At 45.8% G+C, this 16,967-nt stretch overlaps 1 protein-coding gene and 1 long non-coding RNA gene across 6 annotated transcripts in view; one reads left to right on the top strand and one right to left on the bottom strand.

Annotated features, from left to right (window-relative positions):
* Positions 1–16,967, bottom strand: part of FRMPD3 (FERM and PDZ domain containing 3) — a 155,600-nt gene that overhangs the window by 72,818 nt on the left and 65,815 nt on the right. For 2 of the 5 annotated variants that reach the window (NM_001388459.1, XM_017029902.3), the window contains 2 exons: positions 5,698–5,852; positions 1,923–2,025 (listed from right to left, as the gene is read on the bottom strand). In NM_001388459.1, the coding sequence (NP_001375388.1) occupies positions 1,923–2,025; positions 5,698–5,845 (251 nt within the window). In that variant the 5' untranslated portion in view covers positions 5,846–5,852. Of the gene's footprint in view, positions 1–1,922; positions 2,026–5,697; positions 5,853–6,781; positions 6,840–9,950; positions 9,985–16,967 lie in introns of those variants that run through there. The other 3 variants (NM_001388462.1, XM_006724709.4, NM_032428.2) reach the window with 2 other exon arrangements.
* The window catches only part of FRMPD3-AS1 (FRMPD3 antisense RNA 1), a 32,839-nt gene that overhangs the window by 13,388 nt on the left and 2,484 nt on the right, over positions 1–16,967 (top strand). The gene's annotated exons all lie outside the window — the stretch shown is intronic.

The raw sequence follows: 16,967 nt of genomic DNA, 5'->3' as shown, positions 1-16,967 counted from the left end.
TTCTCCATTATCTGGACTTATTTTCTACAACTCTCCTCTTTCCTTACCAACTCCAGTCCTACTGGCTTCTCCCCTGTTCCACAATCGTGCCAAACACACTCCTGGCCTTAGGGCCTTTGCACTGGCTGTTCTCTGTCCAACACCTTCTCCTCCTTCAAGTCTTTCTTCAAATGTCACCTTTTCAATGAGGCCAACATTGACCCTACTGTTTAGTTGCATTTTGCACCCCTGTGCCCAGCACTCCTGATCCTCTTTACCTAGATCTACTTTCTATTCTTAATAACATTTATCAGCTTCTAATATGTTGTAGAACTACTTATAATCTTTTCTGCTTATGATGTGTCTCCTTTCACTAAAATGTAAACTCCAGTGAGCCAGGGATCTTTGTCTGTCTTATTCACTGCTGTATCTTCGGTGTGTGGAACAGTGCCTGGTGCATCGAGGACAACAATAAATACTGGTTGATTGACTGACTGACTGAATGAATGAATGAATAATCCACTGGCTCCCAAGGTTATCAAGAGTGTGCTCTGCTTTAACCCTGAAGGAGCTCTGGAACCCCTCACGAAATCAGCATACCTTGTTCTAGAGGGCAAAGAAATCTACTAAAAACAAAGCAGTGACTTCTGAGGGACCAGGCTGAAAAAAACCCAACATGCCCTAATAGGATAGAAAGAACTCACCTCATATTGGTGTGGTAGCAGAGGGTGGAGGGTGGAGGGTAGGGAAATGCAATAGACAACTGAACTTGGAGAAGAGTCAAAGAAAAGGTCATTAGGGATCAGACACATTTCATGGTATTGAGCTGGAAGGAGCATGCCAAGGAAGACATGCTCTGGACTTCAGGAGGGAACATTCCAAAGCCCTCCAGAGCTAGTTAGAGGGTGCTGTTCCATACACAGAATGCTATGTCTGCCTTTGAAGGCAAGGGAAGAGCTCTGGGACCAGGTGGGCTTTTGGGAGCCTGGAAAGATGAGTGGGATGAAAACACTCTGAACCAGGAGGACTTGAAGGAGATGGTGGCAGAGATGAAGTCAGACTAAGCAAGGGGGTGAGAGAGAGGAGGAGAGAGAGAGAGAGAGAGAGAGAGGGAGAGAGAAAAGGAGAGTGAGAGAAAGAGCGAGCATGTACATGGTTCCATTTGGAGTGAGATAGCCAAGCTCCCCCAAACTGAGGTTAGCCCATGCAATTTGGAGCCTTTACCTCTTATTCTCTAATTCCTTTTCAACAAATCTATGCCAGGGTGTGTGTATGTGGTGTGAATGTGGGGTAGGAGAGTGTGTATGGTGTGTGTGTGTGTGTGTGTGTGTGTGTGTGTGTGTAATGTGCACAGGGGTAAAGGATAGGTAAAGACAATGTGATTACTCTCCATGTACAAACAGTGGTAATCCCACAATGTTCCTTTTGTCATCTGCTCCCATCTGCGGAGGGCATTTAGGGGACACAAACACTATGGACAGTATCCACATTGGGAGGTTCTCTTCCTCAACCCATTGGCCAGGGATTCTGAGTTTTTTCTGGAGTTGGGGAGTTGGTCAATATCTTGCTTGCACTGTGCATATCTAGGATGTTCTTTTAATGGCTTGATTCTCATCTGTCACTTGGTCTGTCCCGCTGGAAAAAAACAAAGGGGCTGGGGTGAAGAGATTGTTTGGGTGGAAGGAGGTAGGGGTGAGACTCCAGCAGGGAGTTCTTTGCGTCTGTTCACATCATTGGAGATGCTAAGCCAGTGTGTATGAAGGCTCCTGCTGACCCTGAATAGCTGGCCCCTGAAGTTCTGGGTTAGCCAGGAGCCCTCTATAGGGCTTCTCTGCCTGGAAGGATTCTGCTCTCAGAGCGAGGGGGGGATAGTGGTGGCCCCATGTCACTGGTGAGTCAGGGGTGGGGATACTGATCAGTTCCTGCCAAAAGGCCCCTGTTACCTGATAAGTTCTATGAGTCTCTCCCTCGGGGCTTCACTCACGTCTTCCTCATTAATAGCCACAATCTGGTCACCAGCCAGGAGCTTGTTCTCAGAGGGGCCTCCTGCAAAGGAGAGGAGAGAGGTGTGAGGGCTTAGGGTTACTGCTGGGAAAGTCCAGGTCTGGGCAAGTCCCCTGTGCCTGTAGGAGCTGAAGCAGGTGCTGAGGCCTGGAGATGGTGCAGGCTGAGCTGTGGTGGTGTAGAGGGTGCTATTCGAGCTCTCTGCTGCTGTTGCTGCCGCTGCTGCTGCCTATAAGCAGATAGAGGGCAGAGGAATGAAGACAGAGAATGGAGTGGACCTCCTTTAGTTCCATGCCAAGAAAGACATGCTCTGGACTTCAGAAGCGAGCATTCCAAAGCCCTCCAGAGCTAGTTAGAGGATGCTGTTCCAAACACAGAATGCTAAGTCTGCCTTTGAAGGCAAGGGAGGTACTCTAGAACCAGGTGGGCTTTTGGGAGCCCCAGAAAGATAAGTGGGGTGAAAACACTTTAGCTGGGTATGGTTTGGTAGCAAAAGGTACCAAACTCAGATAAGGTCAATAAACATTTTACTGGCTTGCTTCTTAATGAGGAACGCAGACTTCCATTTCACAGGCGGGACTTGCTTAGGTACAAGGAATGACTTCCAGACTACTGGAGGTGGTCAGGCGAAAGGAGGACGAGGAAGGATCTTCTTACTTGAATATTATTCATACTTACTAGTCTGGAAGGACTTAGGCATTCACTTGTCTGAAGACAGAGGAAAAAGACCTAAAGGGTTATTTTTTTTTCTACACTGAGAAATGCCACTGTCCAATAAATGAGGGGAACAAAGCACATACTTTTGGGCAGTTGGATATTTGTTTTTTCTCCCTCCCATTTCTTTTCTTTTCTTTTTTTATTTTTTTGAGATGGAGTCTTACTCTGTCACCCAGGCTGGAGTGCAGTGGCGTGATCTCGGCTCACTGTAACTTGCCCCTCCCAGGTTCAACAGATTCTCCCACCTCAGCCTCCTGAGTAGCTGGGATGACAGGTACACTCCACCATGCCCAGCTAATTTTTGTATTTTTAGTAGAGATGGAACATCATCATGTTGCCCAGAGTGGTCTTGAACTCTTGACCTCAGGTGATTCACCCACCTCAGCCTCCCAAAATGCTGGGATTACAGACGTGAGCTACTGTGCCTGGCTCTCCTTCCCATTTCTACTGCAAGGTTAAGAAAGCAGACCTATCTGAGGGCTGTACCTTCTTGGTTGGGGCAAAGGGTGAGGGTAGAGGGATACCACAAGGCTATGCTGCTTCTGATGTTTAGCAAAGATCTTCTTGGAGAAAAGCTTCTCAGAGACTTGGAGAGAATGAGAAGTCAGAACCAGCCTGACTCAAATTTGAAAGAAATGTTCACTGACATTACCCAGTATCAAACCAGCCTTGACTCTAGTTTGTGTCCACTTTGAAGGGCCAGATCCCAACTTCTCCCTCTCTCTCCAAAGAAGGGGGCTGCCCAAATTCCAAAAACATGAACATACACAACAAATACATCACTTGAGCACAGCTCAATGGCTCTGGAGTGTAGAGCCTATGTGCTGAGGATGGCTGTGCCAGCACAGGCAGCAGGATTCATTGCTCGAGGAGCAATTGCCCTAAACACACTAGGCCAAGTCTCCTGACAGTGCACTGGCTTCAGGAGCAAAGTGTGGTGGCTAACAGAACACTCTTTACAGCCAGACAGACTTGGACTCTAACTCCAAATCTGCAATTCACTGGTTGTGTGACCTTGGGCAAGACATTTAATCTCTCTGAGTCTCTCTTACCTCATCTATAAAATGGGAAAATAACAGTACATATGCATCATAGAAATGTTGGGAGGATGAATGAGATGATAAATATACAGCACTTAAAACAGCTGATTGACATTGCTAAGAATTGGATAAATGGTAGTTATTATACCATCCAAGGGACAATTCCTTCAACTCATTTCATTCCTTCTATCTACTTCTGCCAAAAATGTCAGTCTCTTAGGTGGAGGCCACTCTATCTATCTTCTTCTTCCCTTCCCTCCCCTCCCTTTCTTCCGTCTAACAGAAGAGGTCCTCATGGAACTCAACCTCCTTTATGGGCCTTGGCCCTTTGATGGTACCGGTAACATCAGTCTACTACTGCTTTCACAAATGGTTTGTTGGCTTGATCAACCATAATTGCTCCTCTGTAGGACACTTTTTTTGTCTTTATTACGGCCTCAAATAAAGAACCAAACAAGTCCTGTGCATTCAGGAGCCACCTGGGCCAGAAGCAGCACTACGGATCAGCTTTTTATAGGGCTTTTATAGGGCTATGCATGCCAGCCCCATGGCTTTTTGTGGTTCGTGCCTGGGGATTTTCTTCTCTTGACCCCTCCAACTCCTTCTTCATTGTTATACCTTTGGCAGCTGAACCCCTCTAGGCCTGGGGGCTTCCTTCAGCTGTGCAGATTCTGTCTCATTTGAAGTTAAAGTAGGGGCTCCTGGTGGTCTATTACTGAATGTTAGCTGGTCCCCCTTTCCTCTGATTTCTGATCAGAGATTCAAAACCTTTTTGCCAAACTGCATGGCTGACTCCAGAGCCTTAGGTCAGCCACGGACTCCTGTACTAAATTGTTGTTGTTGTGTGTGTGTGTGTTTTTTTTCCTCTGTGCCCTCTAGTTGAAGAGAGAGCTTACAAAAATCTTTTTCTTTCCCTTGGAGGATTGCAAAATTCATCAAATTTCTGCAAGACCAGTTTGTACTCTGGCTGCTCCTCTTGACTGAGCGAGAAACTGTTGTAAACATCTAAAGCCTCAGGCCCAGCAAGTCAGGAATAAAGCTCCATTCCGTCTGTCTTTTTTGTCAATGCCTAGCAGATTCGAAACAAAACAGTACTTCAGTCTTTTTCCATTTCATTCATGATAGCAGGGCTTCATAGCTTAGGTGGGGCTTTGCTTGTTCCATCCCACATGGTCCCTTTCAGGCCCTACTTCCCCTGCATGGCATCAAACAGGCCCAGGTGCAAACCCTGGCTCTGTTGCTTTATAGCTGAGTGACACTGGACAAGCCACTTCTCTTTCATTATGCCTCAGTTTCCTCGTTTGCAAAATGGGAATGATATTACTTATTTACTTTGCAGGGGTGGCTGTGAGAATTAAACAATATGATGTAAAGCACATTGTAGATGCTTAATCAATGGTAGATGTTTGTTACTGCCACTCAAGCATTCAGAGATTCCATTATCCTCTCCTCTCCTATCCCACCTGTGGTCTGTATCTTGATTCTGGTCTTCAATGGCTGACCTGTTTCATGAGTATATACATGTCTCCACAGCCTGATGGTTAGGTTCTTGAGAACAGGAACTGTGTCTTGTACTTCCCGACAACATTGCTGGGCTTAGAGTAGGCAATCTATAGATACTTGTTGAATTAAATAGAATAGGTACATTTTTTTTTTGCAAGACATTATGGTTCTTTTATGAATGTTCTATGCAAAGGGAAGCTTTATTAAGACCCAGACACTGTTAAACAATCAACTGCAGCCTTTTTCTAGGGCCCCAAACAGCCTCAATTGTTGTGTCTATCAGTCTTAAAAGGCCAGCTCCCTCACACAGTTATTGGTTGGCAAGTCTTCAACCAGTCTTCATGAATTCTTCAGCAAGACAGTTAGAATGCTTGGAAGCTCTGCTTTTTGGGAAGATATGTGGGTGTTGGGAGACAGGAGTCAGGGCTAGGGGAACACTCTGAGGGACACCTACCTGGCCTCACAGATCGAACCACCACAGGCCTCTCACTGCCAGCCACGAAGCCAAAGCCATATATAGGGTCTCGGTGAACGGTCACTTGTCGCAGTATCTCTGCTGGCAGCTGCTCACATTCCATATCATTTGCGCTCTCTTCCTGCATCACATGACTGGGGAAAAGGGAAGGTGGGAGCAAAACAAGATGCACAGGGAACTAAGCCTCAGAACCAGCAGGGAGAGATGCCAGTTAGGGTTCTGGCCCTGGCACCCAGGAGTTTACAGCTTAGCTTCCTACATCCTCTGGAGCCAACAGAGATGATGACTGCCTCATATTTCAGATTGGAGAAAGAGAAATCTAGAAAGTAGAAGCTACTGTCTTCAGGGCTACAGCCAATAGAAGAAACTGACGTCATGAGCCTGAAATTAGAGTCAGACCCTTCCTCTCAGATATTGGAACTCCAGAAGGAACCCAATGCAAATATTCTGCAGAAGTTAACTGTCATCCTCCACTGACTTAGCTATTAACTCCGTAAAGGAAACCAAAGCCTTGCAGGAAGAGACCACAAGACAGGCAAGTAAGTGGCGGAAGAAATGTAAAGTTGTTCCAGAAGATGGAGCATCTTCATGAAGCCCTGATGCAATATTTTAAATTTTTTTTTTAATTTTTATTTTTTTTGAGACAGAGTCTCACTCTGTCACCCAGGCTGGAGTGCAGTGACACGATCTTGGCTCACTGCAACCTCCACCTCCCGGGGTCAAGCGATTCTCCTGCCTCAGCCTCCCGAGTAGCTGGGACTACAGGCATGTGCCACCACGCCTGGCTAATTTTTGTATTTTTAGTAGAGGTGGGGTTTCGCCATGTTGGCCAGGCTGGTCTCGAACTCCTGGCCTCAAGTGATCCTCTCACCTCAGCCTCCCAAAGTGCTGGGATTACAGGCGTGAGCCACCATGCCTGGCTCATCTTGATGCAATTTTAAACTTGAATACATCTTAAGTTGTATACAAAAATAAATGATTTAAGTAGCATATATAAATAAATGTGCTAATGTCTGGGACCAAAATTGTCCATAATGCCAACTTCTTTCAGTTAATGAGACACCTGGAAAAGAGTTCCTGTTGGCCAGAAGGGGAGCTGCATCCTGGGGCTGCCAGCAGGCCTGAAAGCCCAGAGGAACTGGGAGAAGAGAAATTACTGCCCTAACTCCAGGGAGAGATTACACATTGTTCTCCCGATTTCCACAACTTAAGTAACTAAAGCTTAGGAATTCCACAAAAGCTTCATAAATGTTCTCCATCAAGGGCCAGGGGAGGCATACTGCAGGCAAGAAGGGGTCTGAGTGTAGTATTCAAACAAAGAGCACTGAAGGATAAGGGTGTAGAGACACTGAGGCCTGTGATAGCACTGGTGCCAAGGCCAGGGAAGAAGGTAAAAGGAGGAATGGATGGTCAAGGAGAAGGGCAGGGCAGGTGGAGATGGAGGAGAGAGGGCCAGGGCCAAGTGGCCCAGAGCCTTAGCTCACTCATCTGGCACCACTACAGCCCCAGAATTTTAGGCCTTCTAGATAGACGGGTTTAAGTTTTCTAGCCTCAGTATGTGTATTTGCTAAAATTATGGTTCCAGGCAGAGCCCTTTGGAACAAGATACAGAGGGCCAGTAGCTAATTAATGAAACTAGTATAAGGTTTGTAAAAGAAGTAGGAGGTTTTGACATTCTGAGAGCAATGCAATTCTTTTTTTTTTTTTTTTTTTTTTTTTTGAGATGGAGTCTCCCTCTGTTACGCCAGCTGGAGTGCAGTGGCACGATCTCGGCTCACTGCAACCTCCACCTCCCAGGTTCAAGCGATTCTCCTGCCTCAGGCTCCAGGAGAGTAGCTGGGATTACAGGCGTGTGCTGCCCTGCCTGGCTAATTTTTATATTTTTAGTAGTGACATGGTTTCACCGTGTTGGCCAGGCTGGTCTTGAACTCCCGACCTCAGGCGATCCACCCGCCTCGGCCTCCCAAAGTGCTGGGATTACAGGCGTGAGCCACCGCGCCTAGCCGAGAGCAATGCAATTCTTTATTAGCTAAGAATATCAAATTCATCAGTAGCAAATGCTTCAAACCATTTAGGTTATTTATCAGGACACAGTTTCAGTAATAGAGAGAAGCTTTAGGACTATTTATAGGGGAAGGGGAAAAGATTTAGAATAATTGTATAAAAGAGAAATTCATAGTCCAGCAAAGAACTCTGAAGTTGTCTCTATCATATGAGATCTCTCTGGCTACACCTCACACTGGCTTGGAGTCTGTCTGTCACCCCTTCGGGAGGTGGAAGGGGATGCTAGGATGAGGTCAAGTCTCTGGAAGGCAAATTCAGAAACTTGCTCCTTCCCTCTCACACCACTAAGATAAATGGTCACTTTTCAATAGAAAGTCACTCCGAAGCTGGAATGTGGCTGATTAGTGTCCTGGACAGGCACACTCCTAGGACAGGGACCCTCTGAGGGTGGCCACAGGCTGGCGCCTCTTTCATTTTGGCTCCTGGTGGCAGGCAGGAGCTCGTCCTTGAAGGAAGCCAGAGAACATCTTCCTGCAGCTGCCGTCTTGCCTCACCCCTAGGGCTATTTGGAAAATGAGCCCTTTGCTTCCTGCCACCCGGACTTGTTGGCGCTAAAAGGACTTCTTGGGATGGCACCAGCTCATTTCCGACATGGGCATCAGCCAGGGAAGGCTCTGCAGACTGTGGCGTGGGGAGAAGGAACTCCGGCAAGGAAGACAGACACAGGTGTGCTGCAGAAGCACTTGGGATACTGTCCTACGCTCAGTGCTCCCCCTTGATCCCTGCCACTGCAGCCTCCCCTTTGCCCTTTTTTCCTTTTTTGAAGCAGAGGACATCTCAGTTTCCACTGGGCCTTGAGGTACTACCACTTCTGAAGAAAATGGGCACTCCTGGAGCCAGAGGAATCAATAAGCAAACAGCGTTTTGTGACACAAGTGCTTTGCTTTACTCTTTTGACTCATATTAATTAATCAACAAGTATTTATCAAGTGCCTACTCAGACAGTCCAGCACTCTGGGGGACACAGGAGAAGTGACAGGTCTCTGCCCTCAAAGAGCTTTCAGTCTAGCTGGGGGAGAAAAGACAAGTGGGCATACTGAACAAGACAATTACAGTGCTAACTGAGACTGGTAGATGAGATCTACAACTAAGTTCCAACTTGGGTGTTCAGAAGATGGGGCAGAGAAGCTGGAGAAGACTCCATGGAGGAAGTGGGGATTGTACTCACTGGCCAAGAAAGGGCAGAGTTGGGGAGAGAGGCAAGAACCAAACTCTGTCCATAGGTGCATTCCATCTTCCTGCAGGTGGCCCAGCTATGTGGTTCATAGGTGCAGGCATATCTCCAGGTGTGGCTGGAGCACATTCATCCCTGGGTTGTCCCTAACTGAGCTGGACTAACTGCCCTTAACTGCCTTCAATTCTGCAAGCAGCCCTTTCCTCACACCACTCCCAGGTATCTTGGGACAGGGGAGAAACACCTCCATTAACAGACCAGAAGGCCATTTTACAATTCAAATGGAAGTTGTTCCTTCCCTCCTGGGGTTTGCCTTTTTCAGTGTCTGCAGCTCAGTCCCTCTGAAATTTGCTAAGTGCCTGGAGACTTGGGAGTGACACTGAAGGCAAGCAGTGATGGATGACAGGAGCTCAGCTGTCCATGGGTCACATGACTATCCTCCTGGGGGAAACAGGCAATTTGACTTTGAAAGATGTTTGGCTTCTGGTCCCTTCAAATAGGGCATCCCTGAACAAAATTGTGAAGCAGCCAATGCTTATCCCCCACCCCCCGCCACCCCACGAGGTTTGTTTCTGAGGCCTGCTATTTGCTTCTGTTATTTGCCCCAAAGTATGTAGTGCCTTCATTCTCTCCCCTTCTTACCAAAGTCCCCAAAGGCATTCCCTCACCTTGTGCCAGGCTTGCCCTCTCTATTTAGTGACCTGGGTAAAGGCCTAGCCTTTCTCTTCTGCCTAATGATAACAACACTTTATATTCGTGTGGTTCTTTTCATTTTTACACTCATTACTTCATTTGAGAAAAGATGCTTTCACATCCATTATCTCCTCTGTCCTGCCAAATACGCTAGGTGACTGTTCCTCCTCCATCCCAGCCTTCTAGGTAGGAGATGAAGAGGCACAGACCCACAGTGGCTAAGCACATTGGTGGCCCAGCTGGGGCCACATCTCTATGCTAGGACCCACAATTGCAGCACCCCCTACCTGCTCCCACTCACGGTCCTGGACCCTCTGGCTATCCAGAGTCTCCATTGCAAGCTGCCCCAACCCTACAGTCAGCAGCACTCTACGTCCTAGCCCAGCCTGTATGCTCAGCCCACATCATAATTAACCTGTCTCTGAGCCTGTTCACTCCGTGTTGTTGGGAGAATGAAATGAGATCATGGTTACAGAAGCACTTAGGAAGGTTAAGCATATCACACAAATGTAGAGGTGGCGATGTTATTGATAGCATTATTCGGGGTGGCTGGAGGAGCAGAGAAGGGGAGCCAAATATAAACTTCACCCGCTTCACACAGCCGAAGCCCTACCCCCAACTCCTTGCCTCTAAGAGACAGCCCCGCAACGTACTCTGTCCGCTCATTCTCCCAGCAGCTCTTTCCCTGACCCAACTACGAGACAACCTGGCTCCCTCTAGATGCCCTGATTCCTCCGTGGGCTAAACTGATCCCTCCATCACTGTCCAAAGAGGGACTGGTAGCTCGAGCTCATGCTAACAACTGTTGCTAGGCAGATGTGGCTAAAGGACAAATGAACCGAGAAGAATATGGAATGATTCTAAGCTGATGCTCTCCCTACTTGTGCTCTCATGCAGGAAGATGGAAATGTAACAGCTAAATTTCCAGGCATCCACTTTTAGTTCTCCAGCCCTCTTTGCCTTTGGCTCCTTTTTCTTTACATTTGGTTGGCTCCTTGGGGAGTCTTGTCACTCCCCTCAAGACTGGCAGGATTTGGAACCATGTGGGGCCAATTAGCCCTCTGATTCCGGTAACAGAAGCCTGACTCTACTGGAAGCTCTAGAGATCCAGCATGGCAGGCTAGCAGCTGGGCCCCCATGAGATGCAACATTCCCCTGGTGGCAGAGATGGCAGCCCATCCCCAGCGCTGTGAAGTAGCTGCTCTGTGTGCCCTTTTGTAAGGAGCTTGGGCACAAACCTTTCTTCCTGTAAAGGAGTACTTGCTTGTTATTTTGGCTAGCTGCTCCTTATTCTAGTAGTGTTGCTCAAACTTTAAAGTACATACAAATCACTTGGGAGTATTGCTAAAATGATTCTGATGCAGTAGGTCTGGAGCAAAGTCTGAGACTCTGACAATTCCAGGGTCGTGCCCAAGCTGCTGGTCCACAGACCACACTTTGAAAAGCCAGGACTGAAAAGAGTGCTATTTTTAGACAATGGAAGAGCTACAGTCAGGTGGGAAAACTGAGGTGCTTTTATTCCACTGGGTTATGGCATTGAAGGCCTGGGTTAAAACATAAATGTTATCTTTTGTGGACACATAAATTCATGCAAACAAAGGACTTGCTGGTTGAATCAGATTTACCCCAGGAGAGAACAGGGAGGGCTCTAAACTGACATGAAATAAGACAGATATGGTTGCACTGAGGAAAAGTAGAGAGAAGATCTGAAAGACTGGGCACTGTTTAAGTCCAGCTGAAGAGTTTGGTCAGCAAAAGGACAGCCTGAGAACACTGGCATCTGGGAGGAAAGTGAGGAAAATGCTGAAAAAAGGGACAGTGCCGAAAACAATAATATCAGCTGCCATTTATTGAGGACTTACTATGCTCCAGGTGCTGTCCATAAATTATGTCACCCCATTTTCACTATAACCTCATGAGCTAGGTGGTATTATGTCCATTTTACAGATAAGGAAACTGAGATTTGGGAAGAGAGATTAAGTAATTTGCTGAAGGATATACAACTATATATATTGTGTGGCACCAAAATGTGAACCCAGGTCTGCCTAACTCCAGGGCCAATCATCTTCCACAATTTGTGCCAAGAACCTGTGCATAAAGTAGGGGTTTTGTTGTTGTTGTTGTTGTTTTGTTTTTGAGGCAGCGTCTCACTCTCATTGTCCAGTGGAACCATCACAGCTCAAGGCAGCCTCGACTTCCTGGGCTCAGATGATCCTCCCACCTCAGCCTCCCCAGGAGCTGGGACTACGGGTGCATGCCACCATGCCTGGCTAATTTTTGTGTGTGTTTTTTTTTTTTTGTATTTTTAGTAGAGACAGGGTTTTGCCATATTGGCTAGGCTGGTCTCGAACTCTGGGGCTCAAGTGATCTGCCAGCCTCAGCCTCCCAAAGTGCTGGGATTTCAGACATGAGCCACCACACCCAGCTTAAAGTAGTTTTCTAGAAGGCAATGAGATAGGCTTCGTAGGAGGATTTGGCAGACTACTCTTCCCTAAGTGAGCTGAGGGCCACTTCAATGCTGTCTGTAAGAGCAGCCTCCCTTGAAGCCCCCACACCCAGCGGCTCACCTATTAGAGACTCCAGCCCCAGAACTGGCTTTCTACATGCCTCTAAGCCCACCCTCCCATATGTGAGACTCATCCCATAAGGCCTTGCCTTTCTGTTCACTTCAGTCACCACCAGAAAGAAGTCTACTTGCCTCTGGTCCTTAGAACCCTGACTCTCCTCCCCATAGCAGTCTGTTTACACTCTTATCCCATTTTTCTCCTCCCTTTCAAATCCTTCCAGTGTGTCCACTGGAACTCTCAGTCAACAACAAACTCTCCTATAGCCTCAATTTATTCTTGGAAAGTGTCCTTCACCTTCTTTCCCGGTTCAGACCTGTGTATTCCTTGAGGGCACCACTTCCCCACCAGCCCTCTCAAATGGAAACTGGGGTTTTTGGTTTTGCTTTGTTTTGTTTTTCTTTTGCAAAATTCAAGTCCTCCGGGACCTGCAGGTGAGATAAGTATCCTCCTTGCTTGCCAATGCTGCCTCCAGGCCATTACTCCTCCTTCTTTCTGCAAAATATCCTGCGTCTTTGAGGAACCTGCCTGCCGCCCACCTCTACCACTCTCTTTCTCCTCATTGTTATCTACAGATTTCCTAAGTTGGTCCCACATTCACTGAGGACTTTAGTTCCCAGTCACATGTGATTTTTCCTTCCACTCCTTAAAAGAAATCATGGTAAAATATCCATAACATAAAAGTTACCATTTTAACCATTTTTATTATTGATTGATTCGATTGATTGAGACAGGGTCTCACTCTGTTGCCCAGGCTGGAGTACAGTGGCAGAATCATAGCTCACTGCAGCCTTGACCTCCCAGGCTCAAGCAATCCCACCTCAGACACCCAAGTAGCTGGGACCACAGGCGTGTGCCACCCTGCCTGACTATTTTTTATATTTTTTTGTAGAAATGGGGTTTTGCCATATTGCCTAGGCTGGTCTTGAACTCTTGGGCTCAAGCAATCCACCCACCTCAGCCTCTCAAAATGTCAGGATTACAGGTGTGAACCACCATGCCCAGCCTACCATTTTTAGAAGTACAGTTTTACAGCATTAAGTACACTCACATTATTATGCAACCATCACCATCATCCATCTCCACAACTTTTTCACCTTCCCAAACTGAAACTCTGTACCCATTAAATAGTAATCCCTCATTACCCCTCCCTTCCCAACCCATGGAAGCCACAATTCTACTTTCTGTTTCTATGAATTTGATTACTGTAGGTATCTCATATAAGAGGAATCATACGATATCTGTCTTTTTGTGACTAGCATATTTTGCTTAGCATAATGTCTTCAAGGTTCATCCATATTGCTGCATGTGTCAGAATTTCCTTCCTTTTAAGACTAATAGTCCATTGTATGTATGTATCACATTTTATTAATCTGTTGATGCATATTTGGGTTGTTTCTACCTTTTGGTTGTTGTGAACAATGTAGCTATGAACACGGGTGTACAAATATCTGTTGCAGCCCCTGTATTCTTTCAGGTACATACCTAGAAGTGGAACTGCTGAATCGTAAGGTAATTCTATGTTTTACTTTTTGAGGAATCATCATACTGTTTTCCACAGCAGCTGTACCATTTATGTTCCCACCAGCAATACACAAAGATTCCAATTTCTCCACAGTTTGCCAACATTCCAATACTTATTATTTTCTGTGTTTTTCATTTTTTTTTATAATAGCCTTCCTAATGGGTATGTCCACTCCAACTCTTGATATCATTATTGGTGAATTCAACATTCACAGGGTGACGAGGAGACCTCTAACAATTGCTTCTTCCGCTTCACTCACTCCATCATCACCTACCTAGACTTTGGGTTATCAGATATTGCACTACCCCCAAATCTCAATGCCCAATATCCCACTCTCTACGACACCATCCATTCTTCCAGTTTACCTCCACAAGGGCTCCCACTGCAGGAAGCATCTGAACGCGTCATGATCACCTATTCACTTCCCACTTGATATTCCCTTTTACTAGAAATCTCTTCCCTCATTTTTCACAGAGCTGGCTCTTCATCCTTTAGGTCTCAGCTTAAATGTCACCTTTTCATAGATGCCCATCTGCCAGCACTTTCTCCTACTTATTACCATTCTTACTCTCCTTCAAGTTCCTTTTTATTTTCACTTCTCTTCATGTCCAGCTTAGAGTTCCTGGTCTATCATTATGATCATTCCCTTCCAAACACCTTCAACTTCCTTACTTCCTCTCCCCCTGCTATATCTCATCCCTCGATGAACTCAATTCTCCATGCCTGCATTGGAGTAGCTGAAGGGTGCTGGAGAAAAATCACACAACTGGGTAGCTGGATTTCACTTTAAAATCCATGGGTATATGCTCTCAATTCTGTCTGGCCATTTATCTCCCTCCCTCCCTCCCTCCCTCCCTCCCTCCCTTCCTTCCTTCCTTCTTTCTTTCCTTCCTTTCCTTCTTTTCTTTTCTTTTCTTTCTTTCTTTTTTTTTTTTTCCCAGAGTTTCGCTGTTGATGCCCAGGCTGGAGTGCAATGGCACCATCTCGGCTCACTGCAACCTCCACCTCCCAGGTTCAAGCAATTCTCCTGCCTAAGCCTCCTGTGTAGCTGGGATTACAGGCACCTGCCACCACACCTGGCCATTTTTTGTACTTTTTAGTAGAGACAAGGTTTTGCCATGTTGGCCAGGCTGCTCTCAAACTCCTGACCTCAGGTGATCCGCCCTCCTTGGCCTCCCAAAGTGCCGGGATTACAGGCGTGAGCCACCACGCCCGGCCATGGTCAACACTTTCTCTGTCTCTAAAATGACTATTTCATCACTCGCCCTCTCTCCTCCATCTTCCTCACTTTCCCATTTTCCCCAAGAAATCTCAGCTGACGACCTCATCCCATAGATTACTGAAAAAAACAGAAGCTATCAGATGAGAGCTCCTTCATCTTACCGCCACCAAATCTATACACTACCCTGTCTACATCTGTACCCATGTTTTATTTTTTCCCTATTAAAATGGAGGTACTGGTACCAAAACAGAGATATAGATCAATGGAACAGAACAGAGCCCTCAGAAATAATGCCGCATATCTACAACTATCTGATAAAAACAAGAAATGGGGAAAGGATTCCCTATTTAATAAATGGTGCTGGGAAAACTGGCTAGCCATAGGTAGAAAGCTGAAACTGGATCCCTTCCTTACACCTTATACAAAAATTAATTCAAGATGGATTAAAGACTTAAATGTTGGACCTAAAACCATAAAAACCCTAGAAGAAAACCTAGGCAATACCATTCAGGACATAGGCATAGACAAAAACTTCATGTCTAAAACACCAAAAGCAATGGCAACAAAAGCCAAAATTGACAAATGGGATCTAATTAAGCTAAAGAGCTTCTGCACAGCAAAAGAAACTACCATCAGAGTGAACAGGTAACCTACAGAATGGGAGAAAATTTTTGCAATCTACTCATCTGACAAAGGGCTAATATCCAGAATCTACAAAGAACTCAAACAAATTTACAAGAAAAAAAAAAACAACCCCATCAACAAGTGGGCGAAGGATATGAACAGACGCTTCTCAAAAGAAGACATTTATGCAGCCAAAAAACACATGAAAAAATGCTCATCATCACTGGCCATCAGAGAAATGCAAATCAAAACCACAGTGAGATACCATCTCACACCAGTTCGAATGGCGATCATTAAAAAGTCAGGAAACAACAGGTGCTGGAGGGGATGTGGAGAAATAGGAACACTTTTACACTGTTGGTGGGACTGTAAACTCTTTCAACCATTGTGGAAGTCAGTGTGGCGATTCCTCAGGGATCTAGAACTAGAAATACCATTTGACCCATCCATCCCATTACTGGGTATATACCCAAAGGATTATAAAACATGCTGCTATAAAGACACATGCACACGTATGTTTATTGCGGCACTATTCACAATAGCAAAGACTTGGAACCAACCCAAATGTCCAATAATGATAGACTGGATTAAGAAAATGTGGCACATATACACCATGGAATACTATGCAGCCATAAAAAATGAAGAGTTCATGTCCTTTGTAGGGACATGGATGAAGCTGGAAACCATCATTGTCAGCAAACTATCGCAAGGACAAAAAACCAAACACCACATGTTCTCACTCATAGGTGGGAATTGAACAATGAGAACACATGGACACAGGAAGGGGAACATCACACACCAGGGCCTGTTGTGGGGTGGGGGGAGGGGGGAGGGATAGCATTAGGAGATATACCTAACGTTAAATGATGAGTTAATGGGTGCAGCACACCAACATGGCACATGTATACATATGTAACTAACCTGCACGTTGTGCACATGTACCCTAAAACTTAAAGTATAATTTAAAAAAATGGAGGATGTTTCTTTTCTTCTATCATGGCGAATCTCCTTACTTATGTTCTGGTACCATCCCCTCTTATCTTCTCAAGGATTTTACTCCTTTGGGCATTCATTCTCTTTCCTAAATTACCAATCTCTCCACCGCTCCAGAATCATGCTAGCATGCTGATGGAAATAATCCATCCTTAAGAAAACAAACAAAATACACCTCCCTCTACTCCACAATTCCCTTGCAGTGTCTGCCCCATTTTCCTGGTCCCTTGGGCAACAAAATTCCTCAAAAACGTTTTCTACACATATGTCTCCACTTCATCTCTTTTTTTTCTTTTAAGGACATTGCATTAAGGACACAAGACTTCTTCATCTCTTATTTGCTCCCCAATCCACTATCCCCTGGCTTCCACATCTATCACTCTGCAGAGT

The sequence above is a fragment of the Homo sapiens genome, chromosome X (genome assembly GCF_000001405.40).
Source record: "Homo sapiens chromosome X, GRCh38.p14 Primary Assembly".
Taxonomy (NCBI): domain Eukaryota; kingdom Metazoa; phylum Chordata; class Mammalia; order Primates; family Hominidae; genus Homo; species Homo sapiens.
Note: the sequence above shows the minus strand (reverse complement) of the source record. Positions and strands in the feature narration are given on the sequence as shown.